Source organism: Homo sapiens, chromosome 7 (assembly GCF_000001405.40).
Source record: "Homo sapiens chromosome 7, GRCh38.p14 Primary Assembly".
Classification (NCBI taxonomy): Eukaryota; Metazoa; Chordata; class Mammalia; order Primates; family Hominidae; genus Homo; species Homo sapiens.
This window is the reverse complement of record NC_000007.14, coordinates 3,314,707-3,340,859: the sequence shown is the minus strand read 5'-3', so window position 1 is coordinate 3,340,859 and position 26,153 is coordinate 3,314,707. Positions and strand designations below refer to the sequence as shown.

Here is a 26,153-nt window from a genome sequence, read left to right as displayed (position 1 = left end):
AAGAATTCAATTTCTTTAATGGCTTTAACATTACAGTATACCTTGTTTTATTGCACTTTATTGTGCTTCATAGATGATTTTTTTTTTTTTTTTGAGACGGGGTCTTGCTCTGTTTCCCAGGCTCCAGGGAGTGCAGTGGTCCAATCTCAGCTCACTGCAAGCTCCACCTCCCAGGTTCATGCCATTCTCCTGCCTCAGCCTCCTGAGTAGCTGGGACTACAGGCGCCTGCCACCATGCCCCGCTATTTTTTTGGTATTTTTAGTAGAGACGGGGTTTCACCGTGTTAGCCAGGATGGTCTCGATCTCCTGAGCTCGTGAGCCACCCACCTTGGCCTCCCAAAGTGCTGGGATTACAGGCGTGAGCCACCATACCTGGCCAATTTTTTTAATTTTACTTGTTTTTTTACAAATTGAAGATTAGTGACAACGCTGCTTTCAGCAAGTCTATCAGCACCATTTTTCCAACAGCATGTGCTCACTTTGTGTCAGCATTTTCTAGCAACAATTACTGTGTGTATTTTTAGACAAAATGTTATTGCACTTCATAGAGTAAATGTAACTTTTATATATATACACTGGGAAACCACTTTCTGTGACTCCTTTTATTGCCATATTTGGTTTATTGCAGTAGTCTGAAACCAAATCCGCCACATCTCTGAGGTATGCCTACATTCTGATTGTCTATTTTGTCTTGGTTGAGTTTTATTAAGTTTTAGTTTTTGAGAAAAACTAAAATAAAAAGCTAATTAAAACTAAAGATATTTCCTCTACATTGTCAAATTTATGAGCACAAAGTTATCTGTGGGATTTCCTAATTATCCTTTCAATGGCTGCAGCCTCTGTAGTGATATCCTCTATTTCATTCCTGTTCACTGATTTGGGTCTTATTCCTTTTTATCTGTGTCAGTCTTGCTAAATTTCATTGATCTTTTCAAAGAAATAACTTTTTATGATTTTTATGATTTTTCTTTTTCCTCTTTTCAATTTCACTGACTTCTGCTCTTCGTTCTGCTTGCTTAGGCTTGTTTTGCTCTTTTCTAGTTTCTTGAGGTAGGAGCTTAAATTGACTTGAGACCTTTCCACTTTTCAACTTAATTTATAACAGTGCTATAAATTTCCCTCTTGGGACTGCTTTAAGCTACATCCCACATATTTAATAACATATTTTCATTTTTATGTTTAATATTTTCCTTTGAGACTGACGTATGAATTATTTATAAATGTGTTATTTAGAAATTTTCCTGTTGCCTTTACTATTTTTAGTTTGATTCCATTATTGCCACAGAACAAATTCTGTAGGATTTCAATCCTTTTACGTTTTTTATTTTATAGCCCAGAATAATGTCTATGATGTCCCATGGGCACTTAAAAAGTAGGGTATTCTATTGTTTCGGGTAAATTGTTCTAAATGTCAGATTCTGTTGGTCAATTGTGTAAGTCCTATATTCTTGCTGATTTGGTGTATAGTTTTACTAATTGCTAAGAATATGGTGTTTAAGACTTCAGTTATTTATTACATTTATTTATATGTATATAGTATTTGTTAAATTTATTTCTCCTTTCAGCTCAGTTTTTGCTTCATGTATCTTGAGGTTCTGTTTGGTGTGTACATATTTAGGATCATCATGTCTTCCTAATGTGTTCATTATTTGATCCTTATGCCTCTGTCTTTATTAATTTATTCTGAAATTATTTTTGAATGTTAATATGGCCACTCTTGTTTAAATTCATGTTTGTATGGCATATCTTTTTCCATCCTTTACTTTCAACCTACCTGTGTCATTGGTTTAAGAGAATTTCTTGAACAACACAGTTTTGGATGTTTTCTTAACCACTGTGCCAATCTCTATCCTTTAATTGGTGTATTCAGATCATCTATATTTAAGCCAATTATTAGTATGACAAGCCTAAGCCTGCCATTTAATTATTTCTGTTATTTTGTTTCTTCTGTTTCTCCTTTCTTCCTGTGGATTATGTCAATTTTTTAATAATTCCACCTTCATTTATTCATAGTGCTCGAGTATACCAGTTTTCATAATGGCTGCTCTAAGGACTACAGTAAGCATATGTAACTTATCACACTCTACCGGTATCAACATTTTTACCAGCACAAGCAAAATAGGAAAAACAGGCTTCCATGCTTCCATGTAAGTTGCCTTTACTCTCCCCACTTTTTTTTTTCTTTAAACACAGTCCAGAGTATTTTCTTGTTTTGGTGTTTTTTTTTGTTTGTTTGTTTGTTTGTTTTTAACACCTATCATGCCATGGATTCATAGGAGAGACACCCCAGCAGCTCAGGTTCCTCTCCACTGCTTCTCACAAAGTGTGCTTCTCTGGGAACAGGCTGGCTCTTCAGCTGAACCCTGGTACATTTCTCTTTGGCTTCCTTCTTTTTCTGATCATTTTCCTTCACATGTTTCAGGAAGCTATCTTGGCTCTTAAGAGTGCTTAATGTGCTCAACACGCACATTAGTTCTCTTGGCAAGAGTCGTGCCCTGACCTTGTTTGTTTACAATGCCAACAGCATGCTGAGTAACATCGTAGACTCTTGCAGTTTTGCCATGGTAACACTTGTGGGGCTTCCTTTCTGAACAGTACCCATTCCCTTGATGTCTCCAATATCATCTTTCTTATAGATTTGCAGGTATGTGGCCAAAAGAACAAGTCCATGTTTTCTAAAAGGCCTAGAGAACATACCAGGTGCCTCTCCCTTTTCTCTTTGTCGTTCATCATTTTGGCAAATTAACAGAAGATGGTTGGTTCCAGCCAAAAGGCCCTTCCCCACTTTTTAAGCATGTCTTAAATATTTCCGCGGCATATATTTACTACATCATATTACATTAAAATTTTGCTTCAACCAAATATAACTCATAAAAAGTCTATTACATGTGCCCCTATATTTGCCCATTCCAGTCCTTTCTGAAATTCAGAGCCTTATGTTTTCGTTTCCATTCATTTAAAGAACTTTTACCTAGTTTTTAAGGGTATGCTTGGTAACCAACCACAACTTGTTTTCCTTCATGCAAGAAAGTTTTCCTTTTCCCCTCATTCCTGAAAGACATTTTTGTTGCATATAGAATTGGTGGTTAATGGTTGTTTCTTTCAGTACTTGAAAAATGTTGTGCTGCTTTTCTTCTGGCCACCATCATTCCAGATGAGAAGGCTCCTCTCATTTGGACTGGTTTTCCCCTACAAATTACACATTGTTAAACTCCAGCTACTTTCAGTAGCTTTCCTGTATCTGCCTTGCACAAGTTTAATCAGGATGTGTCTTGGCACAGATTCCTTTGGGTTGATCCTGTCTGGGGCTCACTCAGCTTCTTAGATCTACAGCTTTCTGTCTTTCACCAAATTTGAGAAATTATAGTCAGATTATTTCTTCAGATTTTTTTTTTTTGGTCCCACTCTATTCTTTCCTTCTGAAACTGCAACAACACAAGTGTTATCTCTTTTATCATCACTCCAGAGGTCTATGAGACTTTTTTTTTCCAGTCTATTTTTTTCACATTGGGCAGATTCTAATTTTCTGTCTTCAAGTTCACTGATTCTCAGCCTGCCATTGCCACTCTATTGAGCCCATTCAGTATTTTTAAACTATCATTATTTTTCAGTTCTATCATTTCTTTTTGGTTTTTAATAAATTATTTTTATTTCTTGGCTGAGAATTTCTAATGTTTTGTTTCAAAAGAATTTGTAATAGCTTGTTGAAACATTTTATCATAGCAGCTTTCAAATCCTTGTCAGATAAATCAGTTAGCACCTGCTGATGGTCCTTTCTCATTCATAGGTGATATTCCTGGATCTTGGTATGAGTGATCTGTAGAATTGTATAAATTGGTATGAATTGTATCCTATATGTTTTTGATATTAAGAGACCCCAGATCAAATTTAATCTTTTAGTGGGCAGCTTCCCTGCTAAAAAGGCATTAATACCAGGGATGAGTGGGTATGCACATTCAGTTACCCACTAGCCCCCCACTCCCCACCATCACCCTGACAAAAGTGGGGTGATGACTCACATTGCCTTGTTGCAGACAGATGGGGTGAGAGTTCAGCTCACTGACACTTTCCCAGCCAAAGTGTGGCTCCAACTCACCATTTCTGTTGCCTCTGTGTAAGATCAGCTACCCTCTGGGCCAAGCTACCACAGGGAAGGGAAAGCCAAGGGCTAAGCCATGCCAGTTTGTTGCTGCATCCAGGAGCAGAAGTTCAGGACCCCCGGGGGCCCTATTTATACCAAAGGAGGGGCGGGGAGGTGGGGAGTGCCAGCATGCTCCGCTCCTCCATACCTCATTTGCCACCAGTGGGTGTGGAGGCTCACACCTCCCCACCAGGGGATGATGGGGATGGAAGAGGTCAAGTGTAATGGTAATTAGCCCCCTGCTAGCACCACCTCATTGTGGCTGGTGGGGGCTGGATATGGCCCTAACCTGGGCCTTGCTGACACTACCCTGGCAGAGAAGTCAGAGCATCACCTGCTCCTACCAGGCAGAGGGTGGAAGATCAGCTCCCCACTAGGCGCTGTCAGCACCACCTGACAGGGGAATTGAAGTACCACCTGCTTCTGCCAGGCAGGATATGAAAGATTAACTCTCTGCTCAGGCATGCCTTCAGCCTCTGGGTGGGGAACCGAAGCATGCTGCCTGCTCTCGAAGCCTGGGAAGGGAGGAGGGCAGTTTCCTTGGTTTAGCTGGAGCAGAGTGAGTACTGACAAAAGCTCTGTTTTGTTAGACCACCCTCCCTTCCCCTGTCCTCTGGCTATGGGGAACAGGCTCTTCTCAGAGTTTTGCTGTCTGTGCCTACTGGTGGTTCAGGGATGGAGGCTTCTGCAGTGCCCTGTACTAGACATGTGGGAGATAGTAAGGAGGGGAACTGACACCCTTGTCATTTCTCAAGTCCCCAGGACTCTAGAGTGGCCACAGTCTTCTCTCCACCTTTCAGCATCTTCCTATGCTTCTTTGTTATATGAAGTCCAGGGATTTTGAGTCCTAAGAGGGTAGAGAGAAATGGGGCTGCTCCACCTTGGTAAGACAGTAAATCTCTGGCCCATTCCCATTTCTTCATCTTTCTTTTCTATCTTGCAGTTTCTACTTTTCCTTTCCTGACTCCCACTGGTCTGGTTGGATTACTATTCATTTCATTTTTGCTTCTGTGAATTTGAAAGTTCTAGTGCTTACTTTCCTCTTCCTGGCAGTAGTGATCAGTCCCATATTTTACTACTATTTCTTACAGACTACTTTCTCCACAAAGACCCTCTTATCCTTCAATCTTCCAATTAAGACAAGACCTGTAGAATAATTTCCCTGTCCCCATCTTCCATTTGGCAAATATTTGAGCACCTACTATGTACCAGGTGAAGAAAAGATAACACAAGAAGCAAAATAACATTCCTACCTATGAAGCTTATAGTCTACTGGGGAACAGAAAAAAAAAAAAAAGATAAGTACCATTATGTATCTTATCCCAGTAAGTTAATAAAGCAGTTGTTTTAAATAGAGAACAATCAGGAGACAGCTTGGAAGTAACTTGGTAAGCCAGGTGGATAATGCTTAGGGGGTAAATAAAGAAAGATAACTGGGACCATCCACACAGAACCTTGTAGGCCACAGCAAGGATTTTAAATTGTATTCTAAGTGCAATAGTATTTATAATCTAAGTGAGCAGTGGAAAGACATGATTTAGGTTTATGTCACTCTGGCAACTGGATACAGAAGTTAAAAGTTAGGGCCACCATTTATAAGGCTTATTAGTGATGATGGTGGCCTGGAATGGCAGCAATAAGGCTGATTATAAGTGACTGGTTTCAGGGTATGTTTTAAAAGCAGAGAAAACAGAATTTACTAATGGGATTCAGGGTGATAAATTAGAGAAGAAAAAAAATGAAGGATAACTCCAAGATTTGGGGCCTGAGTTACTGGGTAAATGATAAAGCCACTTATTAAAATGGGAGACACTAAGTGAGAGAGATTTGAAAAAAAAGAAAAATCAAGAGTGGTTTCAAACATATTAGATGTGAGAAGCCTATGAGCTATCTAAGATGACCGACCATTGGAAATATACCTCTAGACTTCTGGGAAAGGTTGAAGCTAGAGATAAACTAAGGAGATTGTCCACAAAGAGAAGTCAAGAACAGAATAAGGACTGAACCTGAGGATAGGAAGGGAAGATTCAACGAAGGGAACAGAATGAGCTGCCACCAGCAAGACAGGAAAGTAGAGTGCCCTGGATTGTAAGTGAAGAATGGTGCCATGTGCTGGGCGAGGCTGTCGTGGGGCCTCTGGAACGTGCTCCTGTCCTCACACCTGGCCCTCTCACCTCCAGGATCCACCTCCGAGAGCCTCAGTCCTCCCAGCAACCTTGCTGACTCCTGCCTGTGCTTTCTCACACTCTCTACGGGGCTATGACAGCTACCTGTGGTCATTTGAAAGGGACGGCAGGGAAGAACAGGAGGACAATTAAGTGGAGTTCGTACCCGACAGCTTCTTCTCTCAAGCGTAGGCTCCACCATCTAATGAGAATGAAAGAGGCCAGCGTAGAATGAGAACTGCTGCTTTCATCAGCAAACAAGTCAACCTATCAAGGAAAGGTGAAAGGACTACAAAACAATCTTGAAGAGCCAGCTATACTCGGAAACCATAAATGTGGAAAATACTGCAGATTGACTCACTTCAATCTACTCCCACCTTCTAGCTCTGCAGAGTCTGGAAAGCTGAAAAACCACATTGGGGTTCTGCTCTAGATTTAGGTTCCTTCAGATCATGATAAACATGAACCATGCAAAACACAAATGGTATGGTCCAACTGGGTTAAGAATGAAACTGAACTAAGTGGGGAGAGAAACTAAGTGTGATGTAGCCACTTTACTCTTGTGGACAGCGGCCAAGGTGGTGTGGTTCTGGGGCCAGCAGTGGAGCAGCAACAGCCAAATCAGCAGCCCCATGCCTGGGCTAGGATGCTGGCCACCCTGGCAGTCCAGTTCCACAGGGCAGCCTTGGGAATTATACTCTAGCACAACCTGCTAGGAGCGTTTCTAAGTACCCTCAACAATTCACCAAGAAATTTAATTCCCTGTAATAAACTGCTTTCTGCTTAAAGTAGGAAGAATTAGAGTCTGTCCTCGATAATCGAACCCTGACCAATACCATCGTCAAAGTTGTTCTAATTTATCCAGAAGTGCTGAGCCACATGGGTACAAGAGAAGGGAAGGGTAGGGCGTTTGTGCTAGGTTAGGGGTATGCATGGTAGGGCAGATTACAAAACAGACAAGCCAGTTCAGGGTTCTGATGTAGGAGTTAGAGATGAGCCTGGAATCCAGGCTGAGTGTGAAAGGAAATAAAGCCACTGCCAACATACAAGTAGTCAGAGATAATGAGAGACACAGACAGGAGGAGATCAAGACAGAACAAAAGATAAGCATTCCATAGTCACAGTCAAGAAACCTCTTTGACCTCATTAAATGGCAACATAAGGTTATGAAATGTAACGAACACCTCTGCAGAAAATGGCACACTCCTTTCATACACCATTTGTATGTACTTTCCAAACACCAGTGACCTCCCTAGAATGTCTAGAAAACATTGCAGACATTCCAAAAGTTTCTAAATATCATAATTTTTGCCAATAACCGGCCATATTGACTCTGCATTTTGGCCTTCAGTAGAAATCAGGTACCCTCCCTCCCCCGACAAAGCAACAGAACCACAGGAAGCAGCCTAGTTCCCAATTTCTTAAGCAGGAGACCTGAACTCTTTCCTAGACAGCATACCTGTGAGAATACCAAAGTCAAACACAATGCCCCAAGTAGCAGCTTCTCCTTTCTTGGCGCTGCCCTTATAAAAGGTTACAATACACTGACAGGGAAAAATCTAAGAGCCCTTTTCTGGACAAAGAGGCTCGTTCCCCAGGCTCAACTTAGCCTTCAATTCTAATCAGTGGTAATGTCAAAGTGGTAAGCTGAATAACTGTTTAACTTAAAATGTTAGCATTATTTAGGCACTGATAATAAAATTTAACATAATGAGAATCACATAAAAAACTTGGCAGATTTACCAAAAATATTTTCTGTATCTATTCCTGGGGGGAAAAGAAGTTATCTGGAACTAGAAGCACCTTACTGGCTGAATGTCAGAACCTTTAAAAGTATCACTGTCCCCTACAGCACATTATGACATTCCTATAAGTTCTTCTAGCCTCTACTAACTTTAATTATAAAATGCAGAGCCTTTCTAGGGCCTAGAAACAGAGTAATTCTAAAATAAATGGCAGGCCATTTACATTTATTATAAATGGCAATAAAAGTTGTTTTTCCAAATAGATAACAGACTCCATTATCATGCCTTTATAATGACTCTGACTTCGCTTTAGGAGACTTACTACTTATGAGAAATGTGAAAAAGGGCAATTTTTAAGTTCTTGGATCCTGTTGAACCATATCCCTTTTCACCCACAGAATAAGAATTTACATACAGATAAGATATAATGCCAGAATAATAGGAATAAGGGGAGAACAACTGACGGCACTGACATTAAAGGATGGAGCCCTGCTAGGATTAATTTGCACAACTTTAGTCACACTTATAAGTAAGCCACGCCCTGTACATTAATCATCGAGAATAAAATAAGGAGACTTAAAACTATAATTCAATAAAGAAATTTTTTAAAGTTTTCCATGGATAACCAAAAATAAACCAGTTTAAATCTCCAAACATCTCAGTGATCAGTGTCTTTCAAAAACTTTAGACATATTAACTTTTAAGAAAATAATAGTTTGAATAAAGTATTTTTTAACCTGAAACAGATTCAACACCATCTTCTAAGCATAAAGAGGCTTAATACTGGTCGAAATAAAATAAGGCATGAGAAAGTTACATTCTGAAATTGAAGTAGTTGATTTTTAGTACCTGTAAAGTAAGCAGTAACTAATGTTTACCATAAAATGCAAAGCTACATTGCAAGGTTACATTTTATTGTAAAACTTAAATTTTCTTATCAAAATACCTTTAAAAGTATTTCCAAATAACACATCTGAAAGTCAACTAATTGGGACTGCCTTAAAATAAGCTGCATCTGAGATTATCTTCAAGGAATAAGTGATTGAGATCAAAAAAAAAAATGTTGACTGTGTCCAATCTTATGAACCTGGTATCCAAAGGAAAGGTGTTTCACCAAGCAAATTCATCCTTTAAAGACTTGTGTTCAGATATGACACCAAAAGCACAACAAAAGATAAAGTGGACATCAGAATTAAACGCTTTTGCACTTCAATGAATGCCATCAAGAAAGTGAAAAGAGGACCCACAGATTGAAAATCATACCTGATAAAGCACTTATATCTAATATAAAAAGAATTATTACAACTCAGTAAGACAACTAATGTAAAAAACGGGCAAAGGATCTGATATGTATTTCCCCAAAGAAGATATGCAAATGGACAATACGCACATGAAAAGATGCTCAACATTATTAGCCATTGAGGAAGTACAAGTAAAAACCACAAAATACCACTTCACACTTATTAGGATCATGCACTTGTCTATATTCTGTTGCTGTAACAGAACACCATAGACTGGGTGTTTTGTTTTTTGTTTTCTTTTTTTCAGACAGAGTCTCGCTTTGTTGCCAGACTGGAGTGCAGTGGTGCAATCTCGGCTCACTGCAATCTCTGCCTCCCAGATTCAAGTGATTCTCCTGCCTCAGCCTCCCAAGTAGCTAGGATTACAGGCGCACACCACCACACCCAGCTAATTTTTGTATTTTTAGTAGAGACGGGGTTTCACCATGTTGGCCAGACTAGTCTCAAACTCCTGACCTCGTGATCCACCTGCCTTGGCCTCCCAAAGTGCAGGATTACAGACGTGAGCCACTGCAACCAGCCCTATTTTTATGTTTTTTAAGAGACAGGGTCTTACTCTGTCATCCAGGCTGGAGTGCAATGACAGGATCAAAGTTTACTGCAGCCTCCTGGACTCAAGCAATCCTCCCAACTCAGCCTTCCAAGTAGATAGGACTACAGGTACACCACCACACCTGGTTTTTTTTTTTTTTTTTTTTTAAGCGAAATGGTTTTGTTATGTTGCCCACATTGTCTCGAATTCCTGTTCTCAAGCAGTCTTCTTGCCTTGGCCTCCCAAAGTGTTGAGATTGCAGGCATGAGTCACCGTGCCTAGCCCTAGACTGGGTAATTCATAAAGAAAAGTTGACATAGCTCATGGTTCTGGAGGCTATGAAGTCCAAGACCATGGCACTGGCATCTGGTGAGGGCCTTCCTGCTGTATCATGACATGGCAAGACGCATCACATGACAAAACAATGCAAACACATGCATGTCAGTGCAAATCTCTTTCTCTTCTTACAAAGCCAACAGTCTCATCATGGAGGCCTCACCCTGATGACCTTTATCTAATCCTAATTACCTCCCACAGGCCCACCTCCAATCAACATATGAATTTGAGGGTGAAGTTTCCAACACATAAAATTTAGGGAACACATTTAAACCACAGGAGATGATTATTTTAAAAAAGGAAAATAAGTGTTAGAAATTGGAACCCTCACACACTGGTATTGGAAATGTAAACTAATGCAGCCACTTAGGAAACTAGCAGTTCATCAAATGCTTAAACAGTTACTATATGACCCAGCAATTCCACCTGTAGGTACATACCCAAGAGAAATGAAAACATATGTCCACATGAAATCAGTATGTGCCAGCATTATTCACAGACACCAGAAAGTGAAAATAACCCAAATATCTGTTAATCAACTGGTAAATGGGAAAAAAAAGGTGACATATACATACAATGAAATACTATTTAGCCATAAAAAGGAATGAAGTATAGACATCTACTTGGTATCCATAGCGGATTGGTTCCAGGACCTCCTATGCATACCAAAATCCATGAATGCTCAAGTAGCTGATATAAAACAGCATAGTATTTGCATATAAGCTATGCACACCCTCTCATATATTAAGTCATCGCTAGATTACTTATAATACCTAATAAAGTATAAATGCTATATAAGTAGTTGTTATACTGCATTGGTTAGGGAATAATGACAAAAATAAGTGTGCATATGTTCAGTACAGATGCAGTTTTTTAAGTATTCTTAATCTGTGGTTGAACACCAGATGTAGAATGCACCAATGCAGAGAACCAACTGTAGTAATACATACCACAAAATGGATGAGTGTGGAAAACAGCACACCAAGTTAAAGCAGCCAGTCAAAAATGACATCCCGGATGATTCTACTTATATGAAATGTCCAGAAAAGGCAAATCTATAGAGACGCAAAGTAGATTAATGGTTCCCCTAGGGTAGGGTGTGAAGATGTGGCGTGATTATAGCTAAGAAGGGTGAGGCTTCTTTTAGGGAGAAGAAAATACTCTGAAATTGACTACTGAGAGTTGCACAACTCTGAACTCTAAATATCCTAAAAACTATTGAATTGTACACTTTCAATAGATGAATTATATGGTAGGTGAATTGTATCTTGAATAAAGCTGTTTTCAAAAAAGTATGTGAAAAAGGAGCTTGTTTCCTCCCAAGGAGATCAAAATGAGAAGAGAGGAAAGAATCTGCTTTTCCCCAGAGTCATCAAAGAGTGCCTCATGGACGTGGTTTAGAACCAAGAGTTTTGGGAGCTTAAATGAGTACCAACCATTATCTGCAAAATGTAAAATGATATGCCTCATACATATATAACCTTTTCTTCAAATTTAATTTGTCATTAACAAAATATAAATTAATTTAAATGAAAAATGCATTTAAAGACGTACCTACTTAAATAATGTCTAGCAGTAGCAAGAGAGGGGATAAACGGCATCGGTGAACATCGTAAAAGACTACATTGATGAGACCTTTGGTTTGGGTAATCCAGCATTATCAGTATATTTAAATGATTCCTTACATTTCCATGCTAGGAATCTACCTTTTGATTTTCTTAGAAAAATATGTCAAACTGCACAAAGTTGTTCACTGCATGATCACTTCTACTTACTTTAAAACAAACAAAAAAGACAACCAAACAACCTAACAGCCCATGACCTGAACTAACTGAACTGTATAGTCCATGTGGAATACTTCAGTCACTAAAAGGAGAATAGATCTATGTGTGTGGTCATGGAAAGATTTCTAAGGCACATAAGTAAAAGAGGGATGAAATGGAGAGCGCATCATCCTATTTGTATGAATTTTTGAAATATATACTAACATAAAAAGATTTTATGAAAAAAATACACAAAAAAAATCATACCAGTTATCTTTGAGTACAAGGATTAGGGGAAGGAGACTTTTATGTAATACATTTTTCTGCTGTTTGATTTTAACCAAGTTTTTTTATATATATAAGTAAATATTTTAGAAATCATACTGCCTTTCCTTTCTGTGTGAAGTTTGGGTCTTGCCACACTAATACAAGCAACCCAGATCATCTGAACTAGAATGTTAGCATGATCTAAAATGAAATCATCATCATCATTTACAAGTAACTTCAATATATATATCTAAAAGCAAATTGTAAGAGCTCATAAGTGTAGACCTTAAAATAAGCCTAATTCTGTTTTATGATATATTACTTCATTTCAAATAATTCAAAATAACACCACAATATACTAATCAGATTGGATAAAGTGAAAATATTTTTTAAATATCATTTGTCATTTTGCCTCTGGAAGACATCTCTTTGTTCAACAGTTATAATATTTCAACTACAGATTTCCACATTATTCTTCCCAATTATCTTCGGGCAGAAAGTTAAACACACACAGAATAAGAATACCATACCAGTAACACGTTATTTTTAGGCAGTTCTATTCTGAATATGCTCCACATAGTAATCTAATTTTCACAGCCTCCAGAGGGACAAACAGGAAAAGCACTATCATTCCCTTTTTACACATGCATAGTGATAGGGTATCAAAATACACCGCATATAATTCAACATACGACAGAACGACAACTATAGGTATACACACCCTCTGTGCCAGAAGTGTTAAGAATTCAGACATGAGTTTTCGATGGGTAATTACAGCATTACATAATATTCCTGGGGTATGGAAAAGCATACCGTAATCAAACACATTACTATTTCTGCAAAGAAATGTATGAATATTCACATCAAGTAGGATAAATAAAGACACAGTCATTCAGGTCAAGTTTTGCTTCTAAATGAGTTAGGAAACATTCTGCTGTCAGGATTTTTTTTTTATTTTGGAACTACAGATATGGGATTCTGGGCCTATACTGGACAGCTTTCAGTTGGAATATTATTTTTCTCTACTGAAAAATATTTTCTTATATGGCAAAACCGCTTTAAATCTCAACGCTAAATCCCTGTTTGGAGAGATGGGTATGTGAAGTAAAACCTGACAAAGATCATCTCAGGGTTTCCTAGAAACCCAAAAGCATCATTTTAATCACAAAACCAGTCGCTTGCTTCCAGCAGCTGTATATAAATAAAATCAATAAAAGCTAAGCAGCCAGAGAGGAGATAAAATTTATTGCTACTTAATTAGCAGCTTCTTCCTTGTTATCCCTGAAACCTTCCACATGACAAATCTGCAGATAGCTGTCTCCATTCATCAGCCTCTTCCCTCAAATTTCTGTCTTCTCTAAACTGAAGATCCCCACCTGGTTCCTTCAACCATTCCCTGTGTGACACTATTCTCTAATATCACCATGCTGGTCACTCTCTTCTGGAAATGCTCATTTGTCAATATTCTTCTTAAGATGTCACACCCAGGACCAAACGCTGCAGCTGCTACCTAACCAGCTCAGAGTCTGGTTACCTTTCTGGAACTGAACATTATCTTTACATCTGACTTAAGATTAAATCAGCTTAAGATTATTCAACCTAAGAGCTAAATTACACTTTTGCAATTGGTGTAAACCCACAGGAAGAAAATCAATTAACTCACTATTAAAGTTTATAACCACTTTGTACCCAGTAAGTATATTTAAAAAATACTCATTTCAGTAATAAACAGATGTAAATAAAAGTGAGGTATCACAGGTTAAATGACAGCCTGAGAAGCCTCTTGCTTCACAAAATGAAAAGAAGGAAAACAGGTGGGATGTAGATGAACCAAAATTAGCCATGAGTTGAAATTACTTAAACTGAGTGATAGATGCATACTCTACCATTGCATGTATTTACATTTTCCATGATAAAAAATTAAATAAAAAATAAATGAATTGAAATAATTAATTTAGAAAGCAGTGTTGGTGAGAAGATGTAGCAATGAGGACTCAGTGGATGTGTAAACTAACACTACCTTTCCAAAGGGCAGCTCTGTGGCGGGAAACAAGACATACTGTATGAGCCAGCAATCCTACTTCAAAGTATTTACCCTAAACTAACAGAATTACCAGACAACTGTATTCATCATAGCATAGTTTATAATGAAGAACTAAAACAACTTCAATGTCTAGTGATATCAGAGTAAACTAAACTATGACTCACAGTGGAAGAGCATACATCCATTGAAAATAATATATATCTACATTTACAGATTTGAAAACTGGCAAGTTGTGGACTGAGAGAATACAAAACAGCATATAATTTGATCCCATTAGATATGTACACTTTTACATATGTATATAACCATAGAGATTTCTAGAAACATGTTCACCAAAATGTTCACAACGGTTATCTCGAGGGAAAAGGATTTCTGTTGATTTCTACTTTCTCTACACTTTTATATACTCTACAATTTGCAGTGAACGAGTATCATTTTTATAAACACTAAGCCATTAGGAGGCTAAAAAACTAACTACCTTATTAAGTTACATTAAGAAATATTGTACAATAGCTTCACTATATATACACACATTAGGATAGATAGGTACAGCTAAGTATATGTCTGCCCTTTTATTTGGTTGGCTCTTTATCCCTATGAGAGTGTACCCTGGATACAACCAAGCGAGATGGTTCTTTCCTAGGCCTCTCAAAGGGGAGGATGTTTGATTCAGGCAGCCTAGTCATGGTTTCTAAAAGCATGCCACTTTTCCTGTAACATCAACCTGTTAAGATTTTTCTGCACAGGAAAAACTAGTTGAGCAGAATGTCAGAGAAATTCAACAGAACTGAGGATTATCTATGTAATTTGTAAAAAATTTGTAACACATTATCCAGCAATTTTTCTGGTACTTTTGTAACAGATATAAGGCTACATTATTTAGCAATATTAATAATTTTACACAGGAAGCTGGTTCATTTTGTTGATACACCCTTTAATCTTTTATGACACTTCTATGATGGAAACGGTTACTTTTATAAACCTATTGTCTGTAATTAATCATCATTTTGGCCCCTGGGAACTAGGATTACAGAAAAAGAGCTTCTTCACATGCTTATTATAATAAAAAGAATCTTAAGTGCCACGCTTAAATTCTTTAAAAGTATATCTATGTTTCTCTCCTTAAATTGGTATTCGTTGAATATCAATGAAAATATAAAGTAAAATTACTTATTTCATTTATAACTGTAAGCAATAATCCATGGCATTAAAGAAATACAGAGCAATAGGTTAAGACGTTAAATATAAAGGTTAGGATCTTATATATTAAAGGTTAGGATTACTATAAAACATGCAATTAGGAAAAAAACAGGCTATTAATGCTCAGATCACGAATCCTTGTGTAGTCAATGTTTAACATATGGTCTATGGTTGTAAGATCTCAAATCTCCACATCAGAATCTGTGTTTTAAGCATCACCTGTGAGACTGAAGCATCACCAAAAAAAAAAAGTGGTTTGGTAGAGAACTTTAAGATCTTCTTCCCAAGGAACCTAGGATGCTTTTGGTAACAGTGATGATAAATGCAGTTCCAGAGAAACATAACTAATAGCTGCTCCACCACCAGAATCTACCACACTATATGTGGCTTGAATACAGTTTCCTAAAGCTTGTCCTCTGTTAAAAATAGAGACAAGTTCAGCATGGAAAGTTTACCTTCTGTTAGGAAAAATGAAGCATGGGAGGACTTTCTTTCAAACGTAAGAAACTTTCAGATTCTGAAATCTTGCCGTTTACTTTTTCCTGGGCATAGGTTTAATAAAATTACAGGAGAAAAACTTAAAGCACTGGTCAAAAAAATAAAAATATAAAAACCAGCAACTACCTCAAATTGAACCCATTAGGATGACTTTTCTAAAGAACAGTTTTCCAGTTTCTATTTTAACAGTAAAAGTAAGAGCCTACTTTTGCTTTGAGTGCAAAACCCATTTTTATGAGTAAAAATTACAGTTATACAATGGGAGTGTATTTCCTATTACAGGGAAGATAAAGTATCTAGTTCCACTTCATCTTTGATCACTAGGTCCCATACTCAGGAGCAAACAAACTTCCAAGAGCCACCTCCTATTCTTATCCTATCCTCCAAACATTTTACACATCGGCTTTTTGTAACGACTTTTCAAAGGCTGAAAGTTCATCAAATTAACAGGCAAGCAAAAAACTGCCTTTAAGGGAGCTATTGAGTAGGTAAGGCTTCTAGGGTACTAGTAAATATTCTAATGCTTTGATTTGGGTATTAATTACATGTGCATGTCTCTTTGTGAAAATTTATCAAGCAATATACTATTTGTCTTCCTTTCCATATATACATTTTAATAAAAATTTACTTTTAAAAAACATTCTTACAATCAAAACAATCTACTCAATTTCAAATGCTAAAAGAGAACCAGAAAAATGACCATGAAAAATGAATCTGACCCTACGACAGCAATGTGAAAAAGGAGAAAAACATGAGTATCTCCCTAGAATAGATACCAGATTTTACTGTGAGGGCCAACAGCCCATTTACACTCATTTCTCTCATGCTTACTTCTACATGAAATAGATAACATGATACAATTCTTGTAACACACAGAGGAATATGAGACCAAACGGCTTAAAGAAATGGACATAGGTAATAGAAACCCTGCAATCAAAAGACAGAGAAGATGACATTTTACTGGCTGAAGAAGAACCTTTACCCAACCTATCTACAGATCAATAAACTATAAACACTGTGCTAGGCAGAATTCAAAAATGTTCTGCCCCATACTCTGGAACCTGTAACTAAAGATGAGATCTCACTTCTGTGACAATGTCATATTCTACAGCACATTTAACCTGAAGGCAGGGAAATAATTAAGGTGGACCTGATCTAGGTACATGAACCCAGAGTTTCTCCAACTAAAAACGTAAGTCAGAAATACTCAAAGCATACAAAGGACCTGACACACCATTGCTGGTTTGAAGATGGAGTGGGGCACACGAAAAGGAATTCAAGTTGACCTCTAGAAGCAGTGTGTGGCCCCAGCTGACTGCCAGCAAGAAAACAGGAGCCTCAGTCCTACAGCCACAGGAACTGAACATGACCAGCAATGTGAATGAGTTTGGAAGTGTATTTTTCCTTAGAACCTCTACACATCTTATGGCCCAAACACTGGCCAATGTTACCACATATTTTCTTCCTATCTTTTACAGCAAGCTCTGGAAATTCAATCGGCACCAGCAGCAATCGTGATAAAGAAAAAAGAATTATACAACATATTCATTCACTCAAACATGTATTGGGTTCCCATCAGACATCAGGTACTGTGCCGGATGCAGGGAATGTAACAATGAATAACGTCTTTTGAAGTTCACAGACTTGGTGAAGACTGAAACTCAGCAAATGAGTTGGAATTTGCCTGGCCCTCGGTCGAGTGGGGGAAGGGGGCTAGGAGACAGCATCACAGTTAAAGGGACCTGCAAACAAAAGGGCAAAACCTGGTCTGGTGCATTGGTTCACGCCTGTAATTTCAGCACTCTAGGAGGCCGAGATGGGCAGCTTGCTTGGGTCCAGGAGTTTGAGACGAGCCTCGGCAACATGGCAAAACAAAAACAAAAACAAAAATGAGCCAGGTGTGGCGGCACACACCTGTGATCCCAGCTACTTGGAAGGCTGAGGTGGGAGGACTGTTTGAACCTGGGAGGTAGACGCTGTAGTGAGCTGTGATCACACCACCACACCCCAGCCTGGGCGACAGAGACAGAGACAAGGTCTTATGGGTGGGGGAAAAGGGCAGGTGGGGACAACACATTAGGTGAAGAGAAGGGAGCAAAAGAGTGCAATTACCATAATCCAGTATTCTGAAAGTGGCATGTGAAACCAGGAAGAGATTACACTGCAAAGGAAAACAAAGCTCAGATTATGAAGATCCCTGAATGCCACTGAATTTTTTTTAAAAAAGGAAAGTAAGTGTAGGCAACAATCTGACCAACTGGAATTCTTCTACATTGTTGGTGGAAATTGTTCCATTTCCACTGTGGGAGAGAGTTTGGTGGTTCCTTGAAAAGTGAAACACAGGATTGCCATATGACCCAGTAATGCAACTTCTAGGCATATACCAAAAAGAAGAGAAAACAGGTGTTCAAACACACATACATGTTCACAGCAACACTATTCACAATAGCCAAAAGGTGGAAACAACACAGATATCCATTAACAGATGAATGGATAAACAAACTGTGGCACATACATACAATGGAATATTATTCAGTCATAAAAAGATATGATGTAATGACAAAACACAACCCAGATGAACCTCAAACATCACACCAGGCAAAAGCAGCCAGACACAAAGTCTTATTCCTGTATATAAAATATTCAGAATAGATAAATCCATAGAAGCAGAACACGGGTGGATGGTCATTAGGGGCTGCTTAATACGTATGGGACTTCCTTTGGTGGGGGATGAAACTGTCCCGGAACTAGAGGTGGTGATCACACAGCACTCTGGATGTATTCAACACTACTCAACTGTTCACTTTAAAATAGTTCACTCGATGCTGTGTGGCACCTAAGTGAAAAAAAAAAAAAACTTTAGAAAGAAGCTAATAAAAATGATGACCTGTAGAGGGAGAGGGCAAACAGGCTGGGGGAACAAAGGTATAAGCAGAGCTTCTGTGTATACATTCCGCTACAGTTTCACCTCTGAATCCTGCAAATATGTTTACAATGGAAACAAAGAGAGAAAGAGAGAGAGAGAGAGAGAAAAGGAGGAAGGAAGGAAGGAAGGAAGGAAGGAAGGAAGGAAGGAAGGAAGGAAGGAGAAGGAAGGAAGGAAGGGAGGGAGGGGAAGGAGGGGGGAGGGGATGGGAGGGAGAGGGGAGAGGGAGGGGGAGGAGGAGGAGGAGAAGGAAGAAGGAAGAAGAGAAACCAACCCACATTCATTGCATTAAATATTAGGTTTAAAAAAAAACTTGCGAAAACATGAAGAATGTTTCTTTGGAAAGTAACTTCACATACTGTATGTAAAATGTCTTTAACTGTTGGGGAAAAAAACACAACTTGTCATTCATGTCAATGATTTTTATAGCGACTCAGTATCAACCAAATAAGTGCACTGAGTTCCTACAATAGGAAGCCAGGTTCTGACATATTCTCACCAATTCACATTCCTAGGCTGAGTCTCTAGAGCCAGAGGTAGTACAACAGGACAAAGTTCGCAGCTCACAAGGCTGGCCACCTGGGACTCTGTCATTAGTACTGTACTTTAAGAAACGTTATGTGCTCTGAAGAAATCAACTCAAATTAAGTGACCCAGCAAAATCAAAGAGGATTTTCCAACTTGTTTTCACTTTGATTTTGACGTTTCTAAGGAATCTGTCAAAAGAAATTCTATAGTATCATCTTGCTTGTGAATTTTTTAAAGGATTTTTAGTTTCAAAAAGATTTTATTTCACGTATGATGAATACATGTAGTAGTTTTCATTTCAAGAGCCTTCAGTTGATAAGCCCTGAAATATCTTAAAATTTTAGGATTGCAAGACATCCACATATCCTATGTTATATTAGCAGAAGTTAAATTTCAGAAGAAAAATACAGAAACTGAGCTTCACGATTGTGTCTGGAGTATACAGGCAACATTCAATTTTTGTCAAGCACAAGGTTTAAATTAAGACTGCTGAGTCCTAGCTGGATTTTTTTTTTAACCCACATTTTTCCTTACAGTACCAACATACTAATTTCTCCAATTCCTGAAACATACCAAAATTGTTAAACATTTTTTTGGTCAAGCTTATCACTATATTATAAAGTTTGGTCTCACTCTAGATGCAGCAAAATATGACTGGTCTTATGGTATTTTCTTTTTTAACAAAGATAACTAGTTGAACAAATGCCCTGTGTCAAGCAGGACTTATTCTGGGATGGCCATGATTAATATTAAAACAGGGCAACTGCTTAAAATATACAAGATCTTTGGCTAAAATCTAGAAAGACCATAAGCTAACATCACAGATGGATTTAGTTTGATTTCTGATTATGTGTAAAGAACAAAAATTAGTTAAAAATGCTTCATCTTTAGGGTTTTCATATACCAACCAAGGTGGGAGCAGGAGGAAATCAATATTAAGGCTAATTTTTTAACAGGGAACTCTGACACTGAAATACACAATTCTGACTGCTACAGAGCAGCATGTTACTATAGTAACATGAGTTCTTACTCCATAGAATATAAAAACATATACTTTTATTTTACTTGTGGCTATCTCCACAGTTCAAAGTATGTATAATATGAGAACTTACAAGAGATAGGGGGAAAAAAATAGAAAAAAAAAGCTGTAACTGCAAACGATGGCAAAGATATCTGGAAATGAGACTCAGGTCTCCAGAATGCTCACCTCCTTCAGCGCATGTGTGCGGTGGGAAGGACGGGCAGGAGAGAATGAGAGGGGAGTGCGTGTGTGAAACAGTCATCCGGAGCTTCCTAAACCCATACATCAGAAGAGAATGAGGAAAGGGGGAATAAATTGGGGAGAACAATTTCAAAAGTGTAGAAGAATTGTGATTCTGCCTCATCATATCCCTCCACCACATCCAGGCAATTCTATTTGGCAAGGTGAAATTCATTTTTTCGCATTCTCAGAAAGCCCTGGTCCATGATCAAGCTGCCCTCCCTTTCAATGCTCAAATTTTCAGAAAAGCAAATGCAAAAAAAAAAAAAAAAAGACTAAGAATGGGTTAGATATAGGCAAATGGAAGAGGAAACCAGATTTGTAATATAAAGTAGAAACAGTATAACTAAAGTGAAATCCTTAAACAGAACATTTCAAATGTATTTCAAAATGCTATATTTTGATTTCTTTCACGATGGAATGGCAAAAAAGGTACTTGAGTTGGCAATAAACAGACCAGAGACATGCAGGCCATCACTAGACACCCTGGGAGAGGAGAGCAGACCCTCCTTCATCAATGCAGTATACAATTGCAGAAACTTACAAGGGACAAAAACATAAGATTATCAAAGAGTACATATATGTATCATGTAAGTAATGAAAGCCTGCCAGGCCAAGAAGCCAGAGCATGTACTCTTGAGGAGATAATAAAAAGAAACTTCTAAAAGGTAAGCCAGCTTGGTTAGGCCACACCAGCCATGGGTGTAGATGGGAACACACTGATAAGGAATTAATACCTTGAGGGCCACCGGTCTAAGCCCCCAGATGCTCTTACAGGCACTCAACCCCTTACAAGACCCTCCACAAGCATTTCTGGGTGCAACAATCCTGACTCCTACAAGCATGACAGCTTGTGTCAAATGAGAGCCATCCCTCTCCTGTGGAAAAGGGTGGGGGCTTCCCACAGCTAAACTGCTTGTACTCTGAAGCAGAACGTTAAAATAACCCAGGGAGACAGTTCTTCCAGTTTCTACACACCACATTTTTCTATTTTCCACACATACATACACCACACCCTGCATATCATTCATTCTCCGTGAGGCCCCACTGCCAGAGTTGTCATGCCAATTAATTTAACAATGCGGTTTTTTGTCCTTCCCATCCCCACCTACTCCCCCCTCATGAATGTCCTTCCTCAGGCCACCCCCAGATAGGCCCACACTGCTAACTGCTTCTGTGGCATTTCAGCCCCACATTTATTCCCGTCTGCCAGGTACCATCTGTATCCAAATCTCAGTTCTATCCCAGCTGAAATCCCAATCACAAAAGGAATCATCCTGTCTAGTGACTTGAATAAATTTGATTGTCAATATTAAATTCACTCTGGAGCATCACCAAGAAAATATTCCTTCTTTGTTGAGTTTTTCTAGTACTAAAACCAACAATGATGGTACCTAATGCAATGGCAAGGGCTATGCTAGGTCAATATATTCATCAACAGGCCAAGAAAACTCAAAAAGTAAAAGAAATATGTAACATTTGTTGGGGATAAGTTCAGGAGGTAAGTAGGAGAGAAGATAAACTATGGAATTGGAAGAAAAGGACAACCAAGGTAAGACAAAAGGTCACGAAACAAGTAATAAGTAATGCCTTCTGTGTATTTCAGTTGAGAAGGAGAAACACATTAGGGGTTCATTTGATCTGATAAATTAATGAGTACAATAATAGCTATGATTTATTAAGCAAGACACTGTGCTAAATACTTTACATACATTATCTCCTCTAATCCTTACAAAAACCTTGTGAGAGAGAGATTAACTCTGCTTTACAAATGAGCACCTGAAACACAGACAAGTGATTCAACTTGCCCAAGGTCACAAGCTCTTAAATGGCAGGGTCAGGATTTGAATCCAGCTCTACGACTCATGACACTATGTTATAATGCCAATGCACTACAGCAGACGGCTTTAAAGCTTATTTTCTGTGTGTGCATGTTTGTAACAAGGTATACCCATGTGTGCTAATATGAAATGATCTCTAAGACACAATATAGGCGAAAAATGCGCTGGGACTAGCCTCCAAGCTAAGAGTATGCTACCATCTGTATAATGTCAAAGGGTTGCAAGGAAAGACATATATAGTTGTATATGCATAAAATATCAGCGAACAAATACTCATGAAACTGGAAACAGTGATAGCCTCAAGCAGGGGGAACTAGGGGGCTGAGGATCAGAAAAGTAGAGACTTTCACTACTACATTTTGATATGGTATGAATTTAACCTACTCATATTTTGTCATAAGAAATAAGCACTGCATAATAAAAACTGCATAATATAACCACAAAAACTTAAAAAACTGGAATGAAAGGTTACCTTAGGCTCCTAGTTTACCAAAGCCAAATAAAGAGGCTTATGAACAACAAAATACTTATTTTAATCAAGCATCCTTTTGAGATGTTTTCACCTGTTAACAGTGCCTGTCAACAATGCTCATATCCTAAACATGAACCAAAGGTGCTTCCATGCACAACAAGGAAAAACCAGCTCCTGTGAACATGGGAGAAGAGTCTGCAAGTAGAAAATCTTAATACAGGTAGGGAAGGAAAAAACGCCACTTAAAGATAGTCAATGAATGGAGAGAGGAATAGGCAGAAGGAAGCGCCCTCCTGGCAGGCACCCAGGGAACAGCACACAGCTACAGAACAAAGTCAAGCTACAGAAATGAGGAGCGAAGATGAAGGGGCAGAATCATCTAAAGGAAACAGGGAAAGGAAAAGGAATTCTTGCTCCCCAATTAGTCTGGAAAGCAGATAGATGAAAACAAAAATAAAAACACAAGATGACCAGTTTCATTTGTTGTAATTAAATGTGCAATATACTCAGAAATCAATACATGTTCCTTTGCTTGCCTTAAAAACCTTACTTTAAAAATTACTATAATCTTTTATGTAAAATAGGATTCGAAATTGCTAGCAATGTTTATTAAGCACTCCCATGATAGCCTTTTTTTTTTTTTTTTTTTTTTTTTTTTGAGACAGAGTCTCACTCTGTTGCCCAGGTTGGAATGCAGTGGTGCGGTCATGGCTCACTGCAGACTTGACCTCCCAGGCTCAAGTGATTCTCCCACCTCAGCCCCTCAAGTAGCTGGGACGACAAGTGCACACCACCACACTCAGCTAAGTTTTTGTACGTTGTGTAGAGACAGGGTATTGCCATGTTGCCCAGGCTGGTCTCAAACTCCTGGCCTCAAGAGATCTGCCCACCTCAGCCTCCCAAAATGCCAAAATTATAGGCATGAGCCACAGTACCCAGACCCCCAGACCCTTTTTAAAAGGTTTAAATAGTGTTTGCCCAAAAACACCAATTCTGTCTAGTTTAAGCAAAAAAGGGGGATACAATTGAAAACAAATACTGTAGACTTCAGGAGAAACTGAACATCCAAACCTCGGGATGGGCAAGAACCAGTTCCACGCTGCAGTGATTTGTAGAGCTCCATAAAAAAGGGCCAAGAGATGACATGGCAGAAAAATGGCCAGTGAGGCCCCTGCTGTGTACATCTACTAGGGCATTCTCAGAAAGTGGCACATTTCTGTGATCCAAGCACTACCCAATTGTTGCCTACTACACTACAGCATATATACATAATGCTCCAATTTACATTTATATTATATTGAATATACAGGTCATGCATCACTTAATGATGGGGATAAGCTCTAAGAAATGCACTATTAGGCAATTCTGTCATTGTGCGAACATCACAGACATCACTTACACAAACCTAGATGTTATGGCCTCCTACACACCTAGGTTATATGATATATAGCCTATTGCTCCCAGGCTACAAACCTGTGCAGCATGTTACTGTACTGAACACAGGAGCCAACTATACCACAAGTATTTATGTGTCTAAACAAATCTGAACTGAGACAAGGTACCATAAACATACAGAATTATAATCTTTCAGGACCCTTATATATGCAGTCTGTCACTTACCAAAATGTCATTATAGGGTACATGGCTGTACTGAAAGTTTTAAATACAAAATTTATGTATATTTAAATTTAAATTTAGTCCTAATTTTCATTTACAACTTCATGCCTCAAATTTTTTATGCATACTATCTACCATCTACCATTAACTTGAATGTATGAATTGACTCTATATTAGAGTTGTGGGGAGAATTTGACACTAGAATCATAAAGATTAAACAGCACTAACCAGAAATCGATGGTACAAATGTGTTTATCAATCCATCTTTCAAAGGAGTTTTTTATTCTTATAATGAGCCTGTAACTTAAAATATGGCATGCTTTTTTCCAACAGATGAACAAAATAAGGCCCAAAACAATAATTCAAGTTCCCTCAAATAGGAAACAAACAAACAAAATCCCAGGTTCCCATTAATGCACTCTCAGTCTGAACCACTAAACAACTTTAGTACCATATTCTTCCTAAAATCCAGTAATAATACATTATGGTAAATAATTCTAATTGCTTTCATAATTTTTAAAAAGTTATAAATGCTGAATGTTTGAAAACTTAGAACATTCAGGAAAAAAAGAGAAATCCCTATAACAGAGATAAGCACATTAAGTAGGCTGGTCTATTTCTTAATCATACTCACTGCATCATATTATAAAACAGTAATTTCTTACCTGTTTTATAATATGCGACTTCCACACCCTTTTCTACTTGCATGTGCATGCGTGACCCTATGTCAGAGAAAGCTGGTACTTGGAGACTCCCAGGAAGGGCTGTTCATGTGGAGAGGACTAGGAACAGGGGCTCCAGAGACAGGGGTGCACTCAAAGATCAGTTCCACCACTTATGAAGTGAGTGACCTTAACTTCTCTGGACCTCAATTTCCTCAACTATAAAATAGGGTTGTAAGGATGTATGATACTGTATAACTTGAAGGCCTTAGCACAATGCCTGATGCCAAGAAAAGCACTCCGTAAAAACAAGCTAGTACACTCTACAAAGAACTCTAACCTCATTTTTCACCTAATATATTCAGAAATCCTTCCATGTCAATTAGAGCTACTTCTAAACATCCTTTTTAATACTAACATTGTAGTCTTCTCATGTGCCACATCAGCCACTGTGAAAGCCACCAGAAGCATTCAGGTCCTCATCATTTGTGAAGGTCACCTGCTGTTGACGAACACAGATAGGGATGGAGGACTCTAGCCAACCCAGCTTGCTCCCTAAAGTAAGGAAAAAGTCAGAGTGGGTTAGGACTCCCAATGTTTCCTCACTGGCTGATTTGGGACAATTCACAGGCCAAATGAGGTTTAGTTTTAAAAAAAAAAAAGTTTTTGTTGCCAATAGGATGTATGATGAAATTCACGTTATTCACCCAAGAAAGAGCAATTTTTGAAGTAAAGCAATTGTGGGTTTAAAATAAAACCTCTTAAGGCATCTCTACATCTAATAAAACACTAGATTATAATATTTTAATTGCTATGAAGTATTCATCTATATAAAAGCATAACACAACTTATA

General features: G+C 38.3%; 1 protein-coding gene, 1 long non-coding RNA gene and 1 pseudogene across 5 annotated transcripts in view; 1 reads left to right on the top strand and 2 right to left on the bottom strand.

Annotated features, from left to right (window-relative positions):
• SDK1-AS1 (SDK1 antisense RNA 1) overlaps positions 1 to 26,153 on the top strand; it is a 108,539-nt gene that overhangs the window by 11,226 nt on the left and 71,160 nt on the right. For all 4 annotated transcript variants that reach the window (XR_001744897.3, XR_001744898.3, XR_007060194.1 and 1 more), the window contains exon 1: positions 1 to 26,153. This exon is cut by the window's left edge and continues 11,226 nt beyond it; it is cut by the window's right edge and continues 12,478 nt beyond it. This is a non-coding gene — a long non-coding RNA (SDK1 antisense RNA 1).
• The window catches only part of SDK1 (sidekick cell adhesion molecule 1), a 967,749-nt gene that overhangs the window by 928,141 nt on the left and 13,455 nt on the right, over positions 1 to 26,153 (bottom strand). The gene's annotated exons all lie outside the window — the stretch shown is intronic.
• Positions 2,234 to 2,775, bottom strand: RPL21P72 (ribosomal protein L21 pseudogene 72; annotated as a pseudogene).